This window comes from Homo sapiens, chromosome 13 (assembly GCF_000001405.40).
Source record: "Homo sapiens chromosome 13, GRCh38.p14 Primary Assembly".
In the NCBI taxonomy this organism is placed as follows: Eukaryota; Metazoa; Chordata; class Mammalia; order Primates; family Hominidae; genus Homo; species Homo sapiens.
Window position 1 is genome coordinate 36,251,497 of NC_000013.11, and position 17,334 is coordinate 36,268,830.

The 17,334-nt window shown below is 41.6% G+C and overlaps 2 protein-coding genes and 1 pseudogene across 8 annotated transcripts in view; 1 reads left to right on the forward strand and 2 right to left on the reverse strand.

The window, feature by feature from the left end:
• Positions 1-17,334, reverse strand: part of CCDC169-SOHLH2 (CCDC169-SOHLH2 readthrough) — a 129,598-nt gene that overhangs the window by 83,280 nt on the left and 28,984 nt on the right. The window contains exons 3-4 of the mRNA NM_001198910.2: positions 2,549-2,647; positions 2,307-2,360 (exon numbers count right to left, since the gene is read on the reverse strand). Coding sequence (NP_001185839.1) covers positions 2,307-2,360; positions 2,549-2,647 — 153 coding nt within the window. The remainder of the gene's footprint in view (positions 1-2,306; positions 2,361-2,548; positions 2,648-17,334) is intronic.
• The window catches only part of CCDC169 (coiled-coil domain containing 169), a 75,811-nt gene that overhangs the window by 29,493 nt on the left and 28,984 nt on the right, over positions 1-17,334 (reverse strand). For all 7 annotated transcript variants that reach the window (NM_001144984.3, NM_001144983.3, NM_001144982.3 and 4 more), the window contains 2 exons: positions 2,549-2,647; positions 2,307-2,360 (listed from right to left, as the gene is read on the reverse strand). In NM_001144984.3, coding sequence (NP_001138456.1) covers positions 2,307-2,360; positions 2,549-2,647 — 153 coding nt within the window. The remainder of the gene's footprint in view (positions 1-2,306; positions 2,361-2,548; positions 2,648-17,334) is intronic.
• Positions 15,672-15,778, forward strand: RNU6-71P (RNA, U6 small nuclear 71, pseudogene; annotated as a pseudogene).

Below are 17,334 nucleotides of genomic sequence, written 5' to 3' on the forward strand. Positions count from 1 at the left end.
TTCATATAAACTAAGGTAAATGAATGCTTTGGGGACAAAAGACTTTACTTTTAACCTTAAAAAAAATCCTCCAACAATGTTTTATATATCACCTTTTTCTTAATAACTTGGGCTTATGATTATGAGCATACATTTCTATTTTATGTTCAGTTCAGTAAATAATTTTGCATATTTGCTTTTTGCCACTCTTTGTGAAAGGGAATAGAAAGCATGAGTCACCCTGACTGACCTCAGGGAGGAACCTACAGCTGAGTGAAGCAAACAGATATATCAGCAATAAGGGACCAAGAGGAAGGCTAAGGCAAGTAGAAATTCTGGTGCCCCTGTCACAGAGAGGGGCTAGGAAAATCAGAAAAGAAACACAGGAAAGTGATATTCACCATTTACTGGAATTTAAAACCTATTATGTGTCAGAAACTTCAACCAGCACTTCGCACATATTATTTCTCTACATACTCACAAAACCCCTGCAAGATACTGATATTTCCTTTTCACAGGTGAGGAAGGAAATTAAGGCCCAGAAAGGTCACATGGTAGTAAGTGCAGAGCTGGGATTCAAATTCAGATTTGCAATGCCATTACAGTCTGGTCTTTTCATCATGTCATGGCCCCATAAAGAGGTAGTGTTTGTGCTAGACCTTGAAGGATGTGGAATTGGCATGTATGAGAAGGAGCACATTCCAAGCACATAGTCTGAGGAAAGGCATAAAGATGCCTGTGATCTAGGAGGAACCAGTGCCTTCAGCCCAGTATCAAGGAACATGAAGTTTGAGCTAATCATCCATTTACAGACAAGAGAATGCAAGAACTTATCCTATCTTGTCTCAATTTCTTACTTACCTTAGTCAACACTACAACACATACTTCCCTTTACCAACAATAGAACTGACTTTCTCAAAATTTTCTAAATGTCCCCCATTAGCTCTAATCCCCAAACCTAATGCCCTTCCTCTCAATCCTTTCATTATCCCTCTAGATATTCTGGATCAGTGACTAGCAGATTATTCTGCATGCCACTCCCATCCTCAAAATCCTCTACCTCCTTGTCTGACCTAGCTATGTCTTCAGGACTCCAACCCTCTTTTCGGCTCTTCCTCCCTTGACTGTCACTGTTGAACTTCTTCAGAGCAATATCCCAGACTATTTCTTCTTTTCCCACTGTATATTCTCCCCAAAGCATTTCATTCATTCAATGACTTCACTTTTTATATAATAATTTTGAAATTTTATATAATAATTTGAAATTAATAATTTTCAAATCTTTATTTGTTTCCTGAGAGTCATATATCCAACTGCTCTTTGGACACTTCCATTTGGATAACACACATTGAAAACTGAGTTTACATCCTAATCTTAAAACATATGCCAAAATAAGATTAATATTGATTAAATATTTAAACGTCAGATATTATGCTATACAAATACTAAAATATGTGGTGAATGCTATGAAACATTGAGATGGTCTTTTTAACTGTAACATTAGAAATCATAAATAAAAGATAGCTCTGACAACCTCAAAACAAAAACTCTACAATACCAACGATATCATAAATAAAACTGAAAGGCAAATGGATAGCTTGAAAATAGATGCAACACCTTTCATAATTTACTGATCACCTCTTTGTCCTGTATTTATAAGTACGCACTTCTACTAACAAAAGTTCCATCTCTCGAGATCTTACCATGCATAATTATAAAGTGAAGTGCCTTGAATTTCATGATAGCCCAGAGATAGCAGCTACCTGTTTGAATTCTAGTGATTAGTGGTGAAACTAAAAGGATAATTAAGGAAGCAAATACAAAAAATAACCTCTTAATTTGGAAAACTGTTATGTCCTTTTTACTTTTTTTTTTTTTTCTGAGATGGAGTCTTGCTCTATCAGCCAGGCTGGAGTGCAGTGGTGTGATCTTGGCTCACTGCAACCTCTGCCTTCTGGGTTCAAGCTATTCTCCTGCCTCACCTCTGAGTAGCTGGGACTACAGGCGCCCACCACCACGCCCAACTAATTTTTGTATTTCTAGTAGAGACAGGGTTTCGCTATGTTGACCAGGCTGGTCTCAAATGCCTGACCTCGTGATCCGACCACCTCAGCCTCCCAAAGTGCTGGGATTACAGGCTTAAGCCACAGTGCCCAGCCCTTTTTATTTTTTATACAAGTTGTATATTTTCCTGTCTACCCTCCATATTTAGAAACTTAACTCCAAAATCTGCTTCTCTCCCAAACCAAAAACAAAACCTAGAAAAGTGAAAAACATAATTTACAGTAAGAAGAAACACTTAGAATTTGGAAATAAAAAAGAGTTACCTGAGACATTTCAGCTAGGTATGTACGGCGTTCATTGTTGATCTTCTGGTAAGCCTGTGTGAAGATACAAAAGCAAAGGGTCCAACATATGAGAAGATTAGCAATACTAGCAAGACTAAGTTAAGGTGTATGTCTCTATAGTGTAGGAAATAGTTTTGTGTTAATTATAGAGTAGGTTTGTAGATAACATTAGAAATAATGGCAGTTTCAAAGGAATTGCTAAGTATAGAGTAAAAACAAACCTTTGATTCTTGTTCCAGTTTAAGTGCATAGTATTTCACTTGACTTTCAAGAGTCTTCTTTTCTTCTTCTAGCTGTTTAAGTAATGTGTTTAAGGATTCCTAAAAATATAAATAGTAAAATTTTATATGTACTCATGTTCTAAACAAAATAAGAAATGACCATCAATTTCTTCACTAGTAAATGCCTTGTATACCTAATATTTTGTGATTTCATAATTCTATGATATGTACTTTTTTTTTTTTTTTTTTTAGACAGAGTCTCACTCTGTCACCCAGGCTGGAGTGCAATGGCATGATCTTGGCTCACTGCAACCTCCGCCTCCCAGGTCTATGCGATTCCCCTGCCTCAGGCTCCCAAGTAGCTGGGATTACAGGCACCTGCAACCATGCCAGGCTAATTTTTTGTGTTTTTAGTAGAGACGTGGTTTCACTATGTTGGCCAGGCTGGTCTCAAACTCCTGACCTCAGGTGATCCACCCACCTCAGCCTCCCAAAGTGCTGGGATTACAGTCGTGAGCCACTGCACCGGGCTAATGTGTACTTTTTAAGTAATAGTAATAATCACAATATTTATTGAACCCTAACAATATGTCATGTATTGTACTAAGTGTTTTTCTTTTTTTCATATTAAACTATCTTTATTTGAAAAACGGTATCGTACAAACCTAACACTCTCTATCAAACTTCAATAAGGGCAATTTCCACATCGACTAATGAATAGTAGCTAAACTAACAAGAGATCAATCAAAAGTGCTTTCAAAGGAGCAGCACTGGCTGATGTTCTGCTGAGGCTGTGGGCATTCAGGACCTGGCTACAGGGAAAACAGAATCAAACCAGCTGGTGCTTTGGACCCAAGCCCTCACATCGTGACCTGCCTCCCTCCTGGGGGCCCTGGCACTTCCAGGTTCCTTTGGCACTTCCTGGCCCCTGTGGGGGCAGGAACTTGGCCTCACAGTTAGCTGGCTTCTGCCTGTTGTGGTCATTTTTTTTTCCAGAGTGCCCAGAGTGCTCTCTCAGTGGACATGGCGGTCATCCAGCTTTCCTGAGGTGTTTTCTCAAGGAAGAGGGTCTTGCTGTGAAAACTGGAAGTGTCTTTCTTCAATTCTTGGGCCAGTTCTAGGAACAACTTGTAGCAGTCTGATACAAGCAGTTCAAGTTTTCATGCACCTTGTGAAGTCTCTGGTCGGGGTCCAGGCAGTAGGTGTCCTCCTCCATGGACTGCTGCTGAGACCCCATCATGCGTTCTCCATGCAGTTCAGATAGAGTGGGGAGGGTCAGCTACAGCTTCGGGAACTCTCCCACAGGCTGTGCCCTTGCACCCTGCAGAAAGCCCTGCTCCCTGGTGTGGTGGCTCACACCTGTAATCCCAGCACTTTGAGAGGCCGAGGCGGGTAGATCACTTGAGCTAAGGAGTTCGACACCAGCCTGGCCAACATGGCGAACCCTGTCTGCACTAAAAATACAAAAATTAGCTGGCATGGTGGCGCATGCCTGTAATCCCAGCTACTCGGCAGGCTGAGGAAGGAGAATCGCTTGGAACCCAGGAGGCAGAGGTTGCAGTGAGCTGAGATTGTGCCACTGCACTCCAAGCTGAGTGACAGAGCAAGGCTCCATAAAAAAAAAAAAAAAAAAGAGGCCTGCTTGCCGATCAGACTTTGGACTTGTCCTGTGAGTTCTTTCCTTCTTTGGATTTCTTCCCATAATTGCATTCTGCTTCTCCAACATCCCCTCAGGAAATAAGAAGGATGCACCTAAGCTACCATTGTCATCCACAGTCTTCAGAGGAACTTGTGGCCAGGACGCTGAAGAGGACCCACTATGTCCTGCTTCCCCAATCCCCATTCACTGCCAAGTCCTCGTCCTCCACGTAGTCTCTTACCACCCTTGACCAGATGCAGGGCGCTCAGCACGGTGTGGGCCAGGGAGGTCAGTTGTCCCACTCCAATATTCATGTGGGCTGTTTCATTCCTGTCTTGGCCTGCTCCAGCCTTTCCTTCTCCTTCTTTGCCTGCAAGCGTTGCTTCCATCTTGCAATTTCTTGGCTGGGCAGCTGTGCAGGTTGCTGATGGTCAGTGCTGTCATTCAGATCATCTGCAGTTTGCCCTTGAAGATCTCCAGCATGCTGTGAAGTGTGAGGGACGTGATTTGCATCAGTCACTTAGGGAAGTTCAGGAGGCCTGTTTTTTCACGCTTTTCTCAGCTCACTGTTTTAGTTCGTTCTCATGCTGCTATGAAGAAATACCCGACACTAGGTAATTTATAAAGAAAAGAGGTTTAACTGACTCATGGTTCTGCATGGCTGGGGAGGCCTCAGGAAACTTATAATCATGGTGGAAGGCACCTCTTCACAGGACAGCAGGAGAGAAAATGAGAGCAAGCAGGTGAAATGCCAGACACTTATAAAGCCATCAGATCTTGTGAGAACTCACTATCACAAGAACAGCATGGAGGAAACAGCCCCCATAATCAATGACCTCCATCTGGTCTTGCCCTTGACATGTGGGAATATTACAATTCAAGATGACATTTGGGTGGGAACACAGAGCCAAACCATATCACTCAGTCACGTCTGAAGGGAAGGCCTACTCATTTCATTTAGAACCCCTCAAGCAGAGGTTTTTGAGTGATCAAGGACTGACCTCCAGCATGGGTGATATGAGGCCCCCACCGGCCTGGGGTGCTGGCCACATCTTGGCCCTGGCCTCTCTGTGGACCTCACCCTGGGCTGAACCCCTCTGGGCTGTCTCTTCCCTTCTTCTCACTGCATGTCATCTCCTGATCATAAAGGCCACCACAGCAGCACATGTCTGATCACCCAGAGTGTCCATAGGTTCCCTGGCACTAGTCCCAGGATTCTGCACATCACTAATTACTACTGCCCACAGGTGGGCCAGCAGCAGCTGGGTAGGCACTGTGTGGCAGGCAGAGGTGCTCTCTGGCTCCTGAGGGCTCTGCAGCTCTGCTTCCATTTGCTAGTGGCCTGTGGGCCACAGCTGACCACTAGTGTTCTGTCTTTAACACAAACAAGGGCCTAACGACCAGGTAGACCACCTATTGAGCTGGGGATAGGGGAGGTACCCGGTGTTATAGAAAACTGTGTTCTTGATTTGGCTGTACAAATAGAAAGTGACATTACTTATGCAATGCCTTGGGGGAGTGGAAAGAGCTCATGGCAGCCCCTAGCTCAGGCCATTTCAGGCCCCATCTAGCCCTACAGCACAGCTAGAAGGTCAAAGCAGGGCTATCTCATAGCCCTGTGTCCACACAATCCTCTCAGGGCACTGTGGTGGCCCATCCCTGGTGAGGTTCATTACCCTAATTTCAAGTTTCCTTCTGCTTCAGGGAAGCCTGGTCCTGCCTACAAAGAGTCTGTCTACCGGCTGGGCGTGGTGGCTCATGCCTGTAATCCCAGCACTTTGGGAGGCCGAGGCAGGCAGATCACGAGGTCAAGAGATCGAGACATCCTGGCCAATATGGTGAAACCCCGTCTGTACTAAAAACACAAAAATTAGCTGGGTGTGGTGGCAAACGCCTGTAGTCCCAGCTACTCGAGAGACTGAGGCAAGTGAGTCGCTTGAACGCGGGAGGCGGGGGTTGTAGTGAGCCAAGATCACACCACTGTACTCCACCCTGGCAACACAGCAAGACTCCAACTAAAAAAAAAGAAAAAAAGAAAAAATCTTTCTACCTTACTAGATTGAGCTCCTTGTAAAAGGGACTATGTTTTCTTCATCTCCATATCCCCAGTAGCTAGCCAGTGCCCAGTATACACTAAGGGCTCAGTCATTGTCTTATTTTGTTGTCTACTCTGACTTAGGACATGTCACTTCCCCTCTTGACCTCCATATTCAGATCTGTGAATGAGTAAGTGGGTAAAGTCCCTCTAGCTTTAAAAGCCCTCCAATATAGACAGAACTCAGAAACCAGAACCAGAAGCTGAGGAATGGCGAATGGAACATTTTCCCTGGTGTGATGGATGAGACCGCAGATCTGGCTACTAGGGTGATTTTTTTGCCACTTGAAAGCCTCTGCAGAATTTGACCCTAGTTTTCAAATCAGACTCTAGAATGATCTTCAGTGTTGGTGGTTTTGCTTTTGAGACTGTTATTGACACAACAGTTTCTGGAAATCTTTTTCAAGGAGAGTATGGGGGCTTCTTTGGCCAAATTGGGTGGGTGCAGGCTCCATCAGCTCAGCAGCTGCTGTCTGGGCCACAGCCTGTCTGCTGAGTCCTGCTCCCCTACAGAGGTTTTTGTCAGAGGCATTTGAAACAGAGCAACTCCATCTTGAATAGAGGCTAGGTAAAATAAGGCTGAGACCCACTGGGCTGCATTCCCAGGAAGTTAGACAATCTTAATCACAGGATGAAATAGGAGGTTGGCACAAGGTACAGGTCAATAAAAGGATGCAGTAAAGAAATGGGGCAAAACCCACCAAAACCCTAGATGGCAACAAAAGTAACCTCTGGTTATCCTCACTGCTCATTATATGCTAATTATAATGTATTAGCATACTAAAAGACACTTCTATCAGCACCATGACAGTTTACAAATGCCATGGCAACATCAGGAATTTACCTGTCTAAAAAGGGAAGGAACCCTCATTTCCAGGAGCTGCCCACCCCTTTCACGGAAAACTCATGAATAATCCACTCCTTTAGCATATAATCAAGAAATAAGCACAAAAATAGCCAACCAGCACCCCGGGGGCTGCTCTGCTGATGGAGTGGCCATTCTTTTATTCCTTTACTGTCTTAATAAACTTGCTTTCACTTTACACTACGGATTTGCCTCTAATTCTTTTTTGTGCAAGATCCAAGAACCCTCTCTTGCAGTCTGGATCGGGACCCCTTTCCATTAACAGTTTCTCCAGACATTACAGTGTGACTGGCCATGTCATCTGTCACAGGTGTGAAAACAATCAAAACCAAGAGCCTGAAGCTGCCGGGATGAGTGCCTGCAGAGGAATCCTGCTCCCTGCAGGCACATCTAGAATGTGTTCCTGTGCTGGGGCCCTGCTCTTTCCAAGAAGGCAGGCTCCAGGGACTCCCAGGATCCTGCTCCCTCGGATACCACAGTCTATGTAGGCAGCAGGACTAAAGTGATGAGAGCCGCCATGATAGTGAGGGCCGAGAGCAGGATGGCGGAATTAGAAGGCAGCGTCCTGACCCCTGGCGATGAGCTGAGTCAATTGGTCCCTGTCTCCCCCTCAGAGCCACCATCTTGTCGTGGCTTCCCTCAGGAACATTATGAGCTCTCCCCCAGGAAGCGCTTCTTGGTTTCCCATTGTTACCGGATGGAAAGTCTTGACTGCCAGTTGTCCAAGTTCTTGGTGTATTGAACAAAGACTTGAACAAAATGCTCAAACAAAGCAATGGACGACAGCGACATACATTTGTTGAAGCAAAAGGACACTCCACAGAGTGAAGCAGGCTTAAGTAAGTGGCTCAAGAGGTCTGAGTATGTTCCCTGGGGTTATTAACTAAAAGAACTTGATAACACCCTTTAGAGGTTTCCAATTGGTTACACACTATGCAAATGAAGACAGCCCACGACCAACCAGAGGCTGAAGACATGGCCTGCAATCAATCAGAGGCTGAAGTGGAGTTACACTCTATGCAAATGAAGGATAGGCTCACGACCAATCAGAGGCTGAAGTGAAGACTTGGCCCACGACCAATCAGAGGCTGAAGTGAAGACTTGGCTCGTGACCAAAGGTTGAAGTTTTCCTTTAGGTTTAATTCCAAGAAGTCAGAGGCAGGTTGGCCTTAGGCTCCCTGTCTCCAGACCCTATTCTCCTGCCTCATCTTCTCCAGACTCCCACCAGGTGGTGGCCTCTCTGGCCCTGCCAGGGACTGGGCGCAGGGAGGGGAGGGGTGGCTGACAGGCCTGCCTGAGGCAGGTGGGCAGTTTGTGGCCTTCGGGCATGGCCTGCTCCAATGGAGGTGCCTCCTTGGCCTGCCCCAGCTCAGTCCCTCTCCATGCCTCTGGGAGCCCTGGGCCTAAATGCTTTTCATAGATTATTTCATTTAATCCTTATTACAGTTGAAATGGCTAATATATTTCTATCTAACTGTTGAGAAGATTGCAGCTTATAGAGATTACATAACTGGCTCAAAGACACGCAGCTAATAATGGTAGAGCTGGAACGTGAACCCAGGTAAAATGACTCCAAAGGCAACAGAGGGTAAACAATTATTATATGTGTGTTCATTTTATTGTTACCATTGTAACAAAAGAGGTACAGGCAAAGACATTTAAAGAGGATGTCCTACTGTTAACTGTATACTCTCAGTCGATTTTTACTTCCTGGTGAAAACTAACTTAGAAATCTACAAAAACAGGATCAAACAGGCATCCAAATATAGGAAAAAGTGTATGGCACTTTTTTTATAAAAAGATGGAATGTAGTGAATTATCTTGATCCACATCAGTAATACCATATATATACATGATTATAAATTGTTAGAGAAATATACAATTAAAATGTATAATTGTTATCTTCCAATCTGAGTTACACTAGTTTCCTGGTATTAGTAAAACAAATGTATGGAAACCCTTATGTAAAAAACTCCAGCTACTTGTGATGAGGAGTATCTAGGTTAAGGTCTTACAACTGGTCTACTCTGTAATATCCTCACAATTCTCCTTTAGTGCCTATTCTACCACTCTACTTCTTCCACTTCTTTGGCTTGATAAATAATCTCCTTTTCGTGATCATATTGTTTTTCATTTTTTGTGTTAGTGCATCCCTCACAAACTCTAGAACTTTCTTTTCTGAATGCTACTTTTCATAAGAGCCTCCTACCCCCATCTGTTTTAGCTTTTCAGAGAGGACCTAGAAGTACACGGTTTCCTGGGTATCACATATAGAAATGTAGAAAAGCTTTCAAGAATCTAATAATCCTTCTACCTGGCCAACATTCACTGAGGGCAGAAATCTGTACTGACTTGATAACTGGGGATGAGGAAATCTGGGAAAGAGGTATGTGGATGGTCCTATAAAAGTGGGAACAAAGGGTGAAATCCCTGTATTGCGCAGTAATTTTCACCAGAGAGCACCCACTGTGTAAGAGGCATTAAACCAAGTGGACCAAAGGCTTAACCAGGAGATAGCATCTGGTTTCTGTTCTTGGTCACCCCAGTGGGTGGACAATGAGCTCATGAACAGTAACCACAGTGGCTGAGATGGCGACTTTGCATTGGCTCAACAGCATGGGTCCCTTCCCACCAAGACTAATCTAGTACTGCTGCTGCTCAATGTCTAGCCTGCCAATAAGAGACGACAACATAAGCCCCTGTTACTGTGCCATCCTTCAAGATCAATCAGCTGCTTGGTGGCAAGCTGATTATACAAGATGCCTTCCAACCTCAAAAGAGCAACAATTCATCCTGACAAGTGTTCCTGATAGTTTTACCTTTCCTACCACAGTGCCTCAGCCAGCAACATAATTTGGCAATCTATCAGTTCTGAGAAGGAAGTTTGTTTGTTTTTTCACTCAAAAGGGCTCCTTTAGGCCAAAAAAACAATCTTACTATCCTTTTCAGGTGGGACTGGCTGGACACTCAACTGGTTGATATCCAAGACTGGCAGCCTAGCATAATTAGGGGCTCAAAGCATATGAGTTGAAGGCAGAATGCTAGGCATAGAGCTAATTCATAGCAAAGAAAACCCACACTACCACTAGAAGATAACATGTGCCTGTTCCGTAGGAAAGCTGTATTCTTTATGATTAGACTTGCCTCCAGAGCCTGCCCTGTGATCACAGAACTGAACATTAGAAACATGCCACTGGGAACTTGCTGGTTGGAATTTACTGCAGTGCATTTGTGAGTTCAGGTAAATTCGTCAGTTGATTTTAGCCCAGTAGACCCAGATGCCAATTTACTCTAAATCTGCTTAGGTCTGGGTTGTTTAATCATCCCACACTTTTTAGTTTTCTCTTATACTCTGGGAAAACCATTAAGAGGTGCCCCTGTTGAGAGACTGTCACATGTCAGAAACTTTTTCAGGAAGTTCATATAGAGGAATAACTGTCTACCCCTCTAGTGCTGCCCAGAAATGCTTGGCCCCACCCAACTTGAATCTACCACCCAGAAATGACTTATGTTAACAATTAAACCTCCTCTGCCAACACTTCAGCACATAGTGTTCAGATTACCAAATACACAGCCCTTGGGGAGGTATGTGATCTCATCCTTAGACAAAAAGGAGATGGGTGGAAATAATTTTCTAAGGCCAGCCTGACCAATCTCACATAATGCTATTTGAACTGTACCAGCATGACTGTGCCAGTACCTGATCAATGATGAACACCTCCATCTCCTTCTGGGTGTGAAAGTACATTATATATTGATTTACTGCTAGATCTAGTCTCCTACTGGCCCTGTCCTGGTAGTCTTGGACTCCTCTAACATGTGCCACAAAGATTAGTTCTAATACCTAAATAAATAGAAGTACTACTAGCTTTGAACTATACCTAGGAATTCAAGTCATGCTTCAAATATGCTTTTAATTGTGGCTCAAGCCTTCAATCATGAAAACCTGAAGATCCCCTGCCCCAACTGAAAGGATAAAGGTGGCTGGAGGGGTGAAGATTGGTATATACTGGATAGCCCAGCATAGCATCTTTAAAGAATGATTTTTACCTAGGAAGTATGTTCTGGGCTCTGCTCTGTGCATAAAAGGGCCATCTAACTATAGGTCCAGAGCTAGTGGCCTTGCTTTCTTGAACTATGTCTCTGTGCCCAGCTCTGGATCAGTGATGGGGGTATCTCTTTTCTAAGAGATACTGTGGTTGGCCAGTCTATGTAAGGTCTCCACCTCTAGACTAATGAGCTCTGGGGACATATAAAGCAGTGAAAACTCTTTTGGTATAAAGCATATGACTGAAAGAAGGAGAAAATACAATTTGCAGAAGGAGGTGAGTTCTGTCCTAGAAGAAGCCAAAGGGAATGCTGGTCAAACCAAACCAAAATGCCCTCTACAAAGGAGATGTTAAAGCCCAGGGTTTGGCCATGGTATCTGGGTTGCTGAAAAGGAGTAGGAGAGGGAGGGATTAATAGAATTAAGCAGTTCGAGGAATTTCAAGGCTATAGTATGTGTTGAATTTACAATCAAGTTCCCCAAAACATTGGTACGAAAGTAGAGGAAAAAAAGGGTTAGAGGTCAGAGCAATAACATACTCATTTGGTTTAAAATTTAATCCCCAACTGATAACTGATCATTTTCAGTAACTCCAATTAGTTCTCACATTCTTGCAAATTAAAGGGAAAAAATCTTCAAGTCAAATTCTCTCAATTATATTGGTCATGATCTAGGTCACTAAATCTATTAAAAGAATCATTCAAAGAAAAATGGAAGCAGCTGATTTATATCTCCACAAAGCAAAACTGCAAAATATTTTAGAGCTCATACCTTCCTGAAACACAGCTACTTCTCTAAACACTTTATTCTCTCTTAGATACTTCTTAACAATTATTAGAATTTTAAAAATTATATTAAGAGAATAATTAGGTGAAACAGGACAAGTTCCAGTCTCTGAAAATAATTCTAGTGATAAAACAAGTCCCTCAGAAATGACACATCCTCACTATATATGTTTGACTAACATCCCTGTTAAAACATAATTGGGTGATATTTCTCAGGTAGGTATTATTGTTCTTCAAAAATTAATTACACACTAGTATCATGAATGGTTTCCAGTTCCCTTCCCCCAAATACAAATTTGCTCCAGAAGAAAATCAATAAAAGGTAAACATATGCAAGAAGCTAAACTGAATCATTTTATAGAAAATTAAAGCCCTATGAAATAAACTGCTCAATATGAAGAGCTTTTGAAGGGATAATCAGGGGGTGAGGGAGGTAGTTCAAAATTCTGCCACATGGACGCTTGCTCCAAGAATTCCAAGTTTAGGCTACCATAGTAACATAGATCAGTTACATAATTTGTTAAATACATTTATAGATGTAAAATGAATCCAACCCTTTTTAGTATAGTTTTAATGGAAAATGTATTCTAAGTTCTAAAAGAAGTTAGCTTACAAATAACTTTCTGAAACACAAATTATTTTGGCATTAAAGATAACCTGAATTAGATGGGATTCAAAACTTTAGAAATTCATACCCAAAAAAAGTACATTCAAAATAGCAGTTAAAAATACAGGCAATATATGATTAAAAGCCAAAATCTGAAACATACACAATAAATACTTCAGAAGTTTTTAAAAGAAGTTGATCAACATGGGCTACAGAGTCCCTAAAATGAGAAGGATTTAGATGGAAAAAGTGAGATGAAAGAGCTATATACTGGTCACAGGCTTGAATCAGAAATGATTATTTAATGAGAGTGATACAGCTGAAGCAAAATATTTGAGCAATAAATAAAAAAAAAAGTAGGATACCTAGGGAAGGACCTGGATAAAGAAAGCTTAACATGTTAGGCTCAGGAGTCTAAGAACTGGGAGCTATTCCAAGTTATTAAAGAAGAGATATGATGAAAATAGGGACTTAGGAATATTAGTCAAGTGGCAGTCTCTCTGACAGAGGATGTTTTCTGTTACTTTCAGGTGTGAATTTGCAATTCTAACTCTCGAGGCTTAAAAATTTTTAATATACCTGTACTTCCTTTGTGACTTAGACTATATCTTGCTGCTATTCCCAACCTGACTAGATTCCTTGTCTCGTAGCCTAATTTTACAATTCATTCATTTATTCAAAAACTAGCTATGAAGCACCTCTTATGTGTCAGGCATTGTGCTAGGGATAGCACACTAAAAATTACAAACCCAGACCCTGTCCTCATGAAGCTGAGAATCTAATAGGGGATTCAGAATGTGGTCTGTCTTGATGAATGTTACATGTGAGCTTGAGAAGAATCTGTGTTCTGGTGGTGTTGGATGGAATATTCAATAAATGTCAGTTAGATCAAGTTGATTGGTAGCACTGTTCAGGTCAACTGCCTGCTTGATTTATCAATCACTGACAGTGGGATGTTGAAGTCTCCAACTTTCATAATGGATTTGTCTATTCTTCCTCCAGTAATTTATCAAAATTACCATTTAGGTGCACCTACCAGTTTACAATTCTAGCAGCTCTCATTTTAGGTAAACAGATCTCAGTTGTGACCGTCCACTTTTGTCTGTTTATCCAGATTTCAGGGTAGGAGTTTGCCCTGCAAATTCAATTTTCTAATGGGTCCAAGAAAAGTCATTGATTTTCAGTTTGATCACCATTTTCTTGTTGTGACGACAAGATTGACAACTTTCAAGATATATACACGTTCTAGTTGAAACAAGGAGTCACAAACTGATCACCTTTTCTAACTGAAATGAAAAGAATGTATTCTCCAAATCAATGGCTGCACAGCCTGTAACTGAAACCTTATTAATCTACTCTGGCAGTGATATCACATCGGGCAAAGTAGCTGCAAATGAGGCTACTAATTGTTTAAGTCTGCAGTAGCCTACAGTTTTTCCCCATAAGACACCCAGTTTCTGCAGCCATTAGGCTGGCAAATTAAAGAGAGCTATGTTAGGCAGCAGTATATTTGCGTCTTTTAGGTCTTTAATTATGGCACTAATCGCTACTGTCTTCCCTGGGATAAGAGATGTTTTTGATTTACAATTTTGATCTGATGAAGGGAGCAGTTTCAGAAGTTTTTATTTGGTCTTTTCCCTACCATGATAGCTTTTACTTCAGAAATTAGAGACCCATAAGGGGGTAACTTTCAACTGTCAAGTATATCTATTTCAATTATGTACTTGGTGATGGAGATAGTTATCACTGCAGGGGTAGGGGAGTCTGTGGGCACATTGAGCCCACTGTGATTTGGAATTTGGTCATAGATTTCCACTCTAGGAATCAACGTTAACTCAGACCCTGTGCTCAATCATCCTTGAGAGATCTAGTTATTTCCGTTTCCTCAGTGTACAGTCACCTGTGTAAATGGCCAGAGGTCCGTTTTGGGAGGACTGTGGATACTGTCATAATATAAACTTTGACTAGTATTGCAGGGCCCTTCTTAGGAATCCAGCCACTTCTTTGGTCAGTAGTTTCTGGTTCTGGAAATTAGTTCAGGTCTGGGAAATGAGTAAAGAATTATGCTTTCCACTGGGCTGACTGTCTTCAGCCTCCTGCTCCTCTGTTCTTGCTTTTCTTTCTTTAATTAGAGATGCTGAACAGCACCATTCTTAATTGGCTTGGCAAGCAGGGGAGGAGGTGGGTGCAGCTCCTGAGGGGGAAACCAGTTGTCTTGTTGGGAAGAGGCCTCCGCAGCATCTTCCAGGACAGTGGGTACTCTTCTAGCCCTTATTAGGGAAGGGTGGGCCACCTCTGCACACCCAGAGGGTTCAGGTAGACTTGTAGACTCCAGATCCTTAGGGGCACCTATCCAGATGTCCTGTCAGAGTTTTCAGGATCCCTGGTCATCCCTATCAGGGCCCTGTCCTTCACATAACAGACCTACCTGGGCTGAGCATTCAGATGCCTCTGGAGCTCTGCAACTCTCACAATTAGGTCTTTAGCCTGTTGTTTTACCCTGTCCACCCTTCCACTACTGGTATAGAGGGCCTCTTATGAGGCTACCACCAAGGCTTTCTCGTTTCACATACTTGTTAACAGTTCTCAGCCTCTCATTATCCTTATGTAGGGTGTCAATACAACTTAGCAGCAAATGCTTGCATCATGGCTTCTTCCACAGTATTCTACTCCAACAGGACATTTTCCAAGATCATCATCAGTGCAATCTTTATGAAGTGAACTGCCACATTGGGCCAGGATCTATTGCTGTCACACCTACCAATCAGAACAGATCCTGCTACATGGTGAGTGAGCCAGTTACAAATTACCTCCTATTTTCTCGTATCACTATCCATACTCCTAGTTTTAGAACTGGTCTTCTGAGAAGCAGACACTAAGATGGGATTACATGTACAAGGATCATGTTATCAGATATGCCCATGTAAAAGGAAATAGAGAGGGAGCAGGAGGAGGCCAGGAGAGCAGTCTGACAGTAATGCAAGTCTTAGCCCTAGTAAAGGACAGTGAGAGAAGGTTGGCTGAAAGCAAAAGCATCCTAGGCTGTAATGTAGTCTAGGAAAAGTTTGGCAAAGCCAACCAAGAGTACTCACTTCTGCAGCACATATACTAAAATTAGAATGATACAGAGAAGATTAGCATAGTCCCTGTGCAAGAATGACACACAAATTCATGAAGAATTTCATATTTTTACAAGCCAGAAAAGATAAGAGTCCTATCTTCAGCCTCCTTAAACAGAATAACTCTCAGCCAATAATTTTGTATCCAGCAAAACTAAGTTTCATAAATGAAGGAGAAATAAAGTCATTTTCAGACAAACAAATGCTGAGGGAATTTGTCACTACCAAACCAGCACTATAAGAAATGCTAAAAGGAGTTCTAGACCTTGAAACAAAAGCCCAATATGTACCAAAACAGAACCTCTTGAAACCTTAAAACTCACAGGGACTATAAAACAATAACACAATGAAAAAAAACTATCTAGGTAACAATTAATATGATGAAGAGAACAGTGCCTCGTATCTCAATATTAACACTGAATGTAAATGGTCTAAATGCTCTGCTTAAAAAATACAGAATGAATTTAAAAAATCACAAACCAAATATCTGCTGTCTTCAAGAGACTCACCTAACATGGAAGGATTCATATAAACTCAAGGTAAAAGGGTGCAAAAAGATATTCCACGCAAATAGAAACCAAAAGTGAGAAGTAGTAGCTATTCTTATATCAGACAAAACAGACTTCAAAGCAATAACACATTAAAAAAAAGCAAAGATGGTCACTATATAATGACAAAAGGATCAATTCAACAAGAAGATATTTCAATTCTAAATTTATATGCACCTAACACTGGAGATCCCAGATTTATAAAACATTTTAAAATGTTTAAATTTTAAAAATTACTACTAGATCTAAGAAATGAGACAGCAACACAATAATGGTGAAAGACTTCAATACACCACTGACAGCACTAGACAGATCTTTCAGACAGAAAGTCAACAAACAATGAACTTAAATGACACTCCAGAACAAATGCACTTAACAGATATTTACAGAACATTCTTCCCAACAACTGCAGAGTATACATTCTTCTCATGAGCGCATGGAACATTCTCCAAGACAGACCATATGATAGGCCACAAAATAAATCTCAATAAATTTTTTAAAATTGAAATCATATCAAGTATATTCTCAGACAACAGAGGAATAAAACTAGAAATCAACTCCAAAAGGAACCCTCAGAACTATACAAATACATGCAAATTAAATAATCTGCTCCTGAATGATATCTGGGTTAACAATGAAATAAAGATGGAAATTTAGAAATTCTTTGAATTGAATGATAATAATGACACAAGCTATCAAAACCTCTAGTATACAGCAAAAGCAGTGCTAAGAGGAAAGTTAATAGCACTAAAGGCCTGTATCAAAAAAGGTGAAAGAGTACAAATTGACAACCTAACGTCATACCTCAAGGAGCTAGAGAAACAACAACAAACCAAACCCAAAGCTACAAGAAGAAAAGAAATAACAAGATCAGAGTAGAACTAAATGAAATTCAAACAAAAAAACCCCAAAAGATCAATGATACAAAAATCTGGCTCTTTGAAAAAATAAACAAAATAGAACATTAGTTAGATTAACCAAGAAAAGAAGAGAGAAGATCCAAATAAGCTCAATTAGAAATGATCCTGGAAACATTACAACCAACACCACAGAAATAACAAAAGATCATTCAAGCCAGGC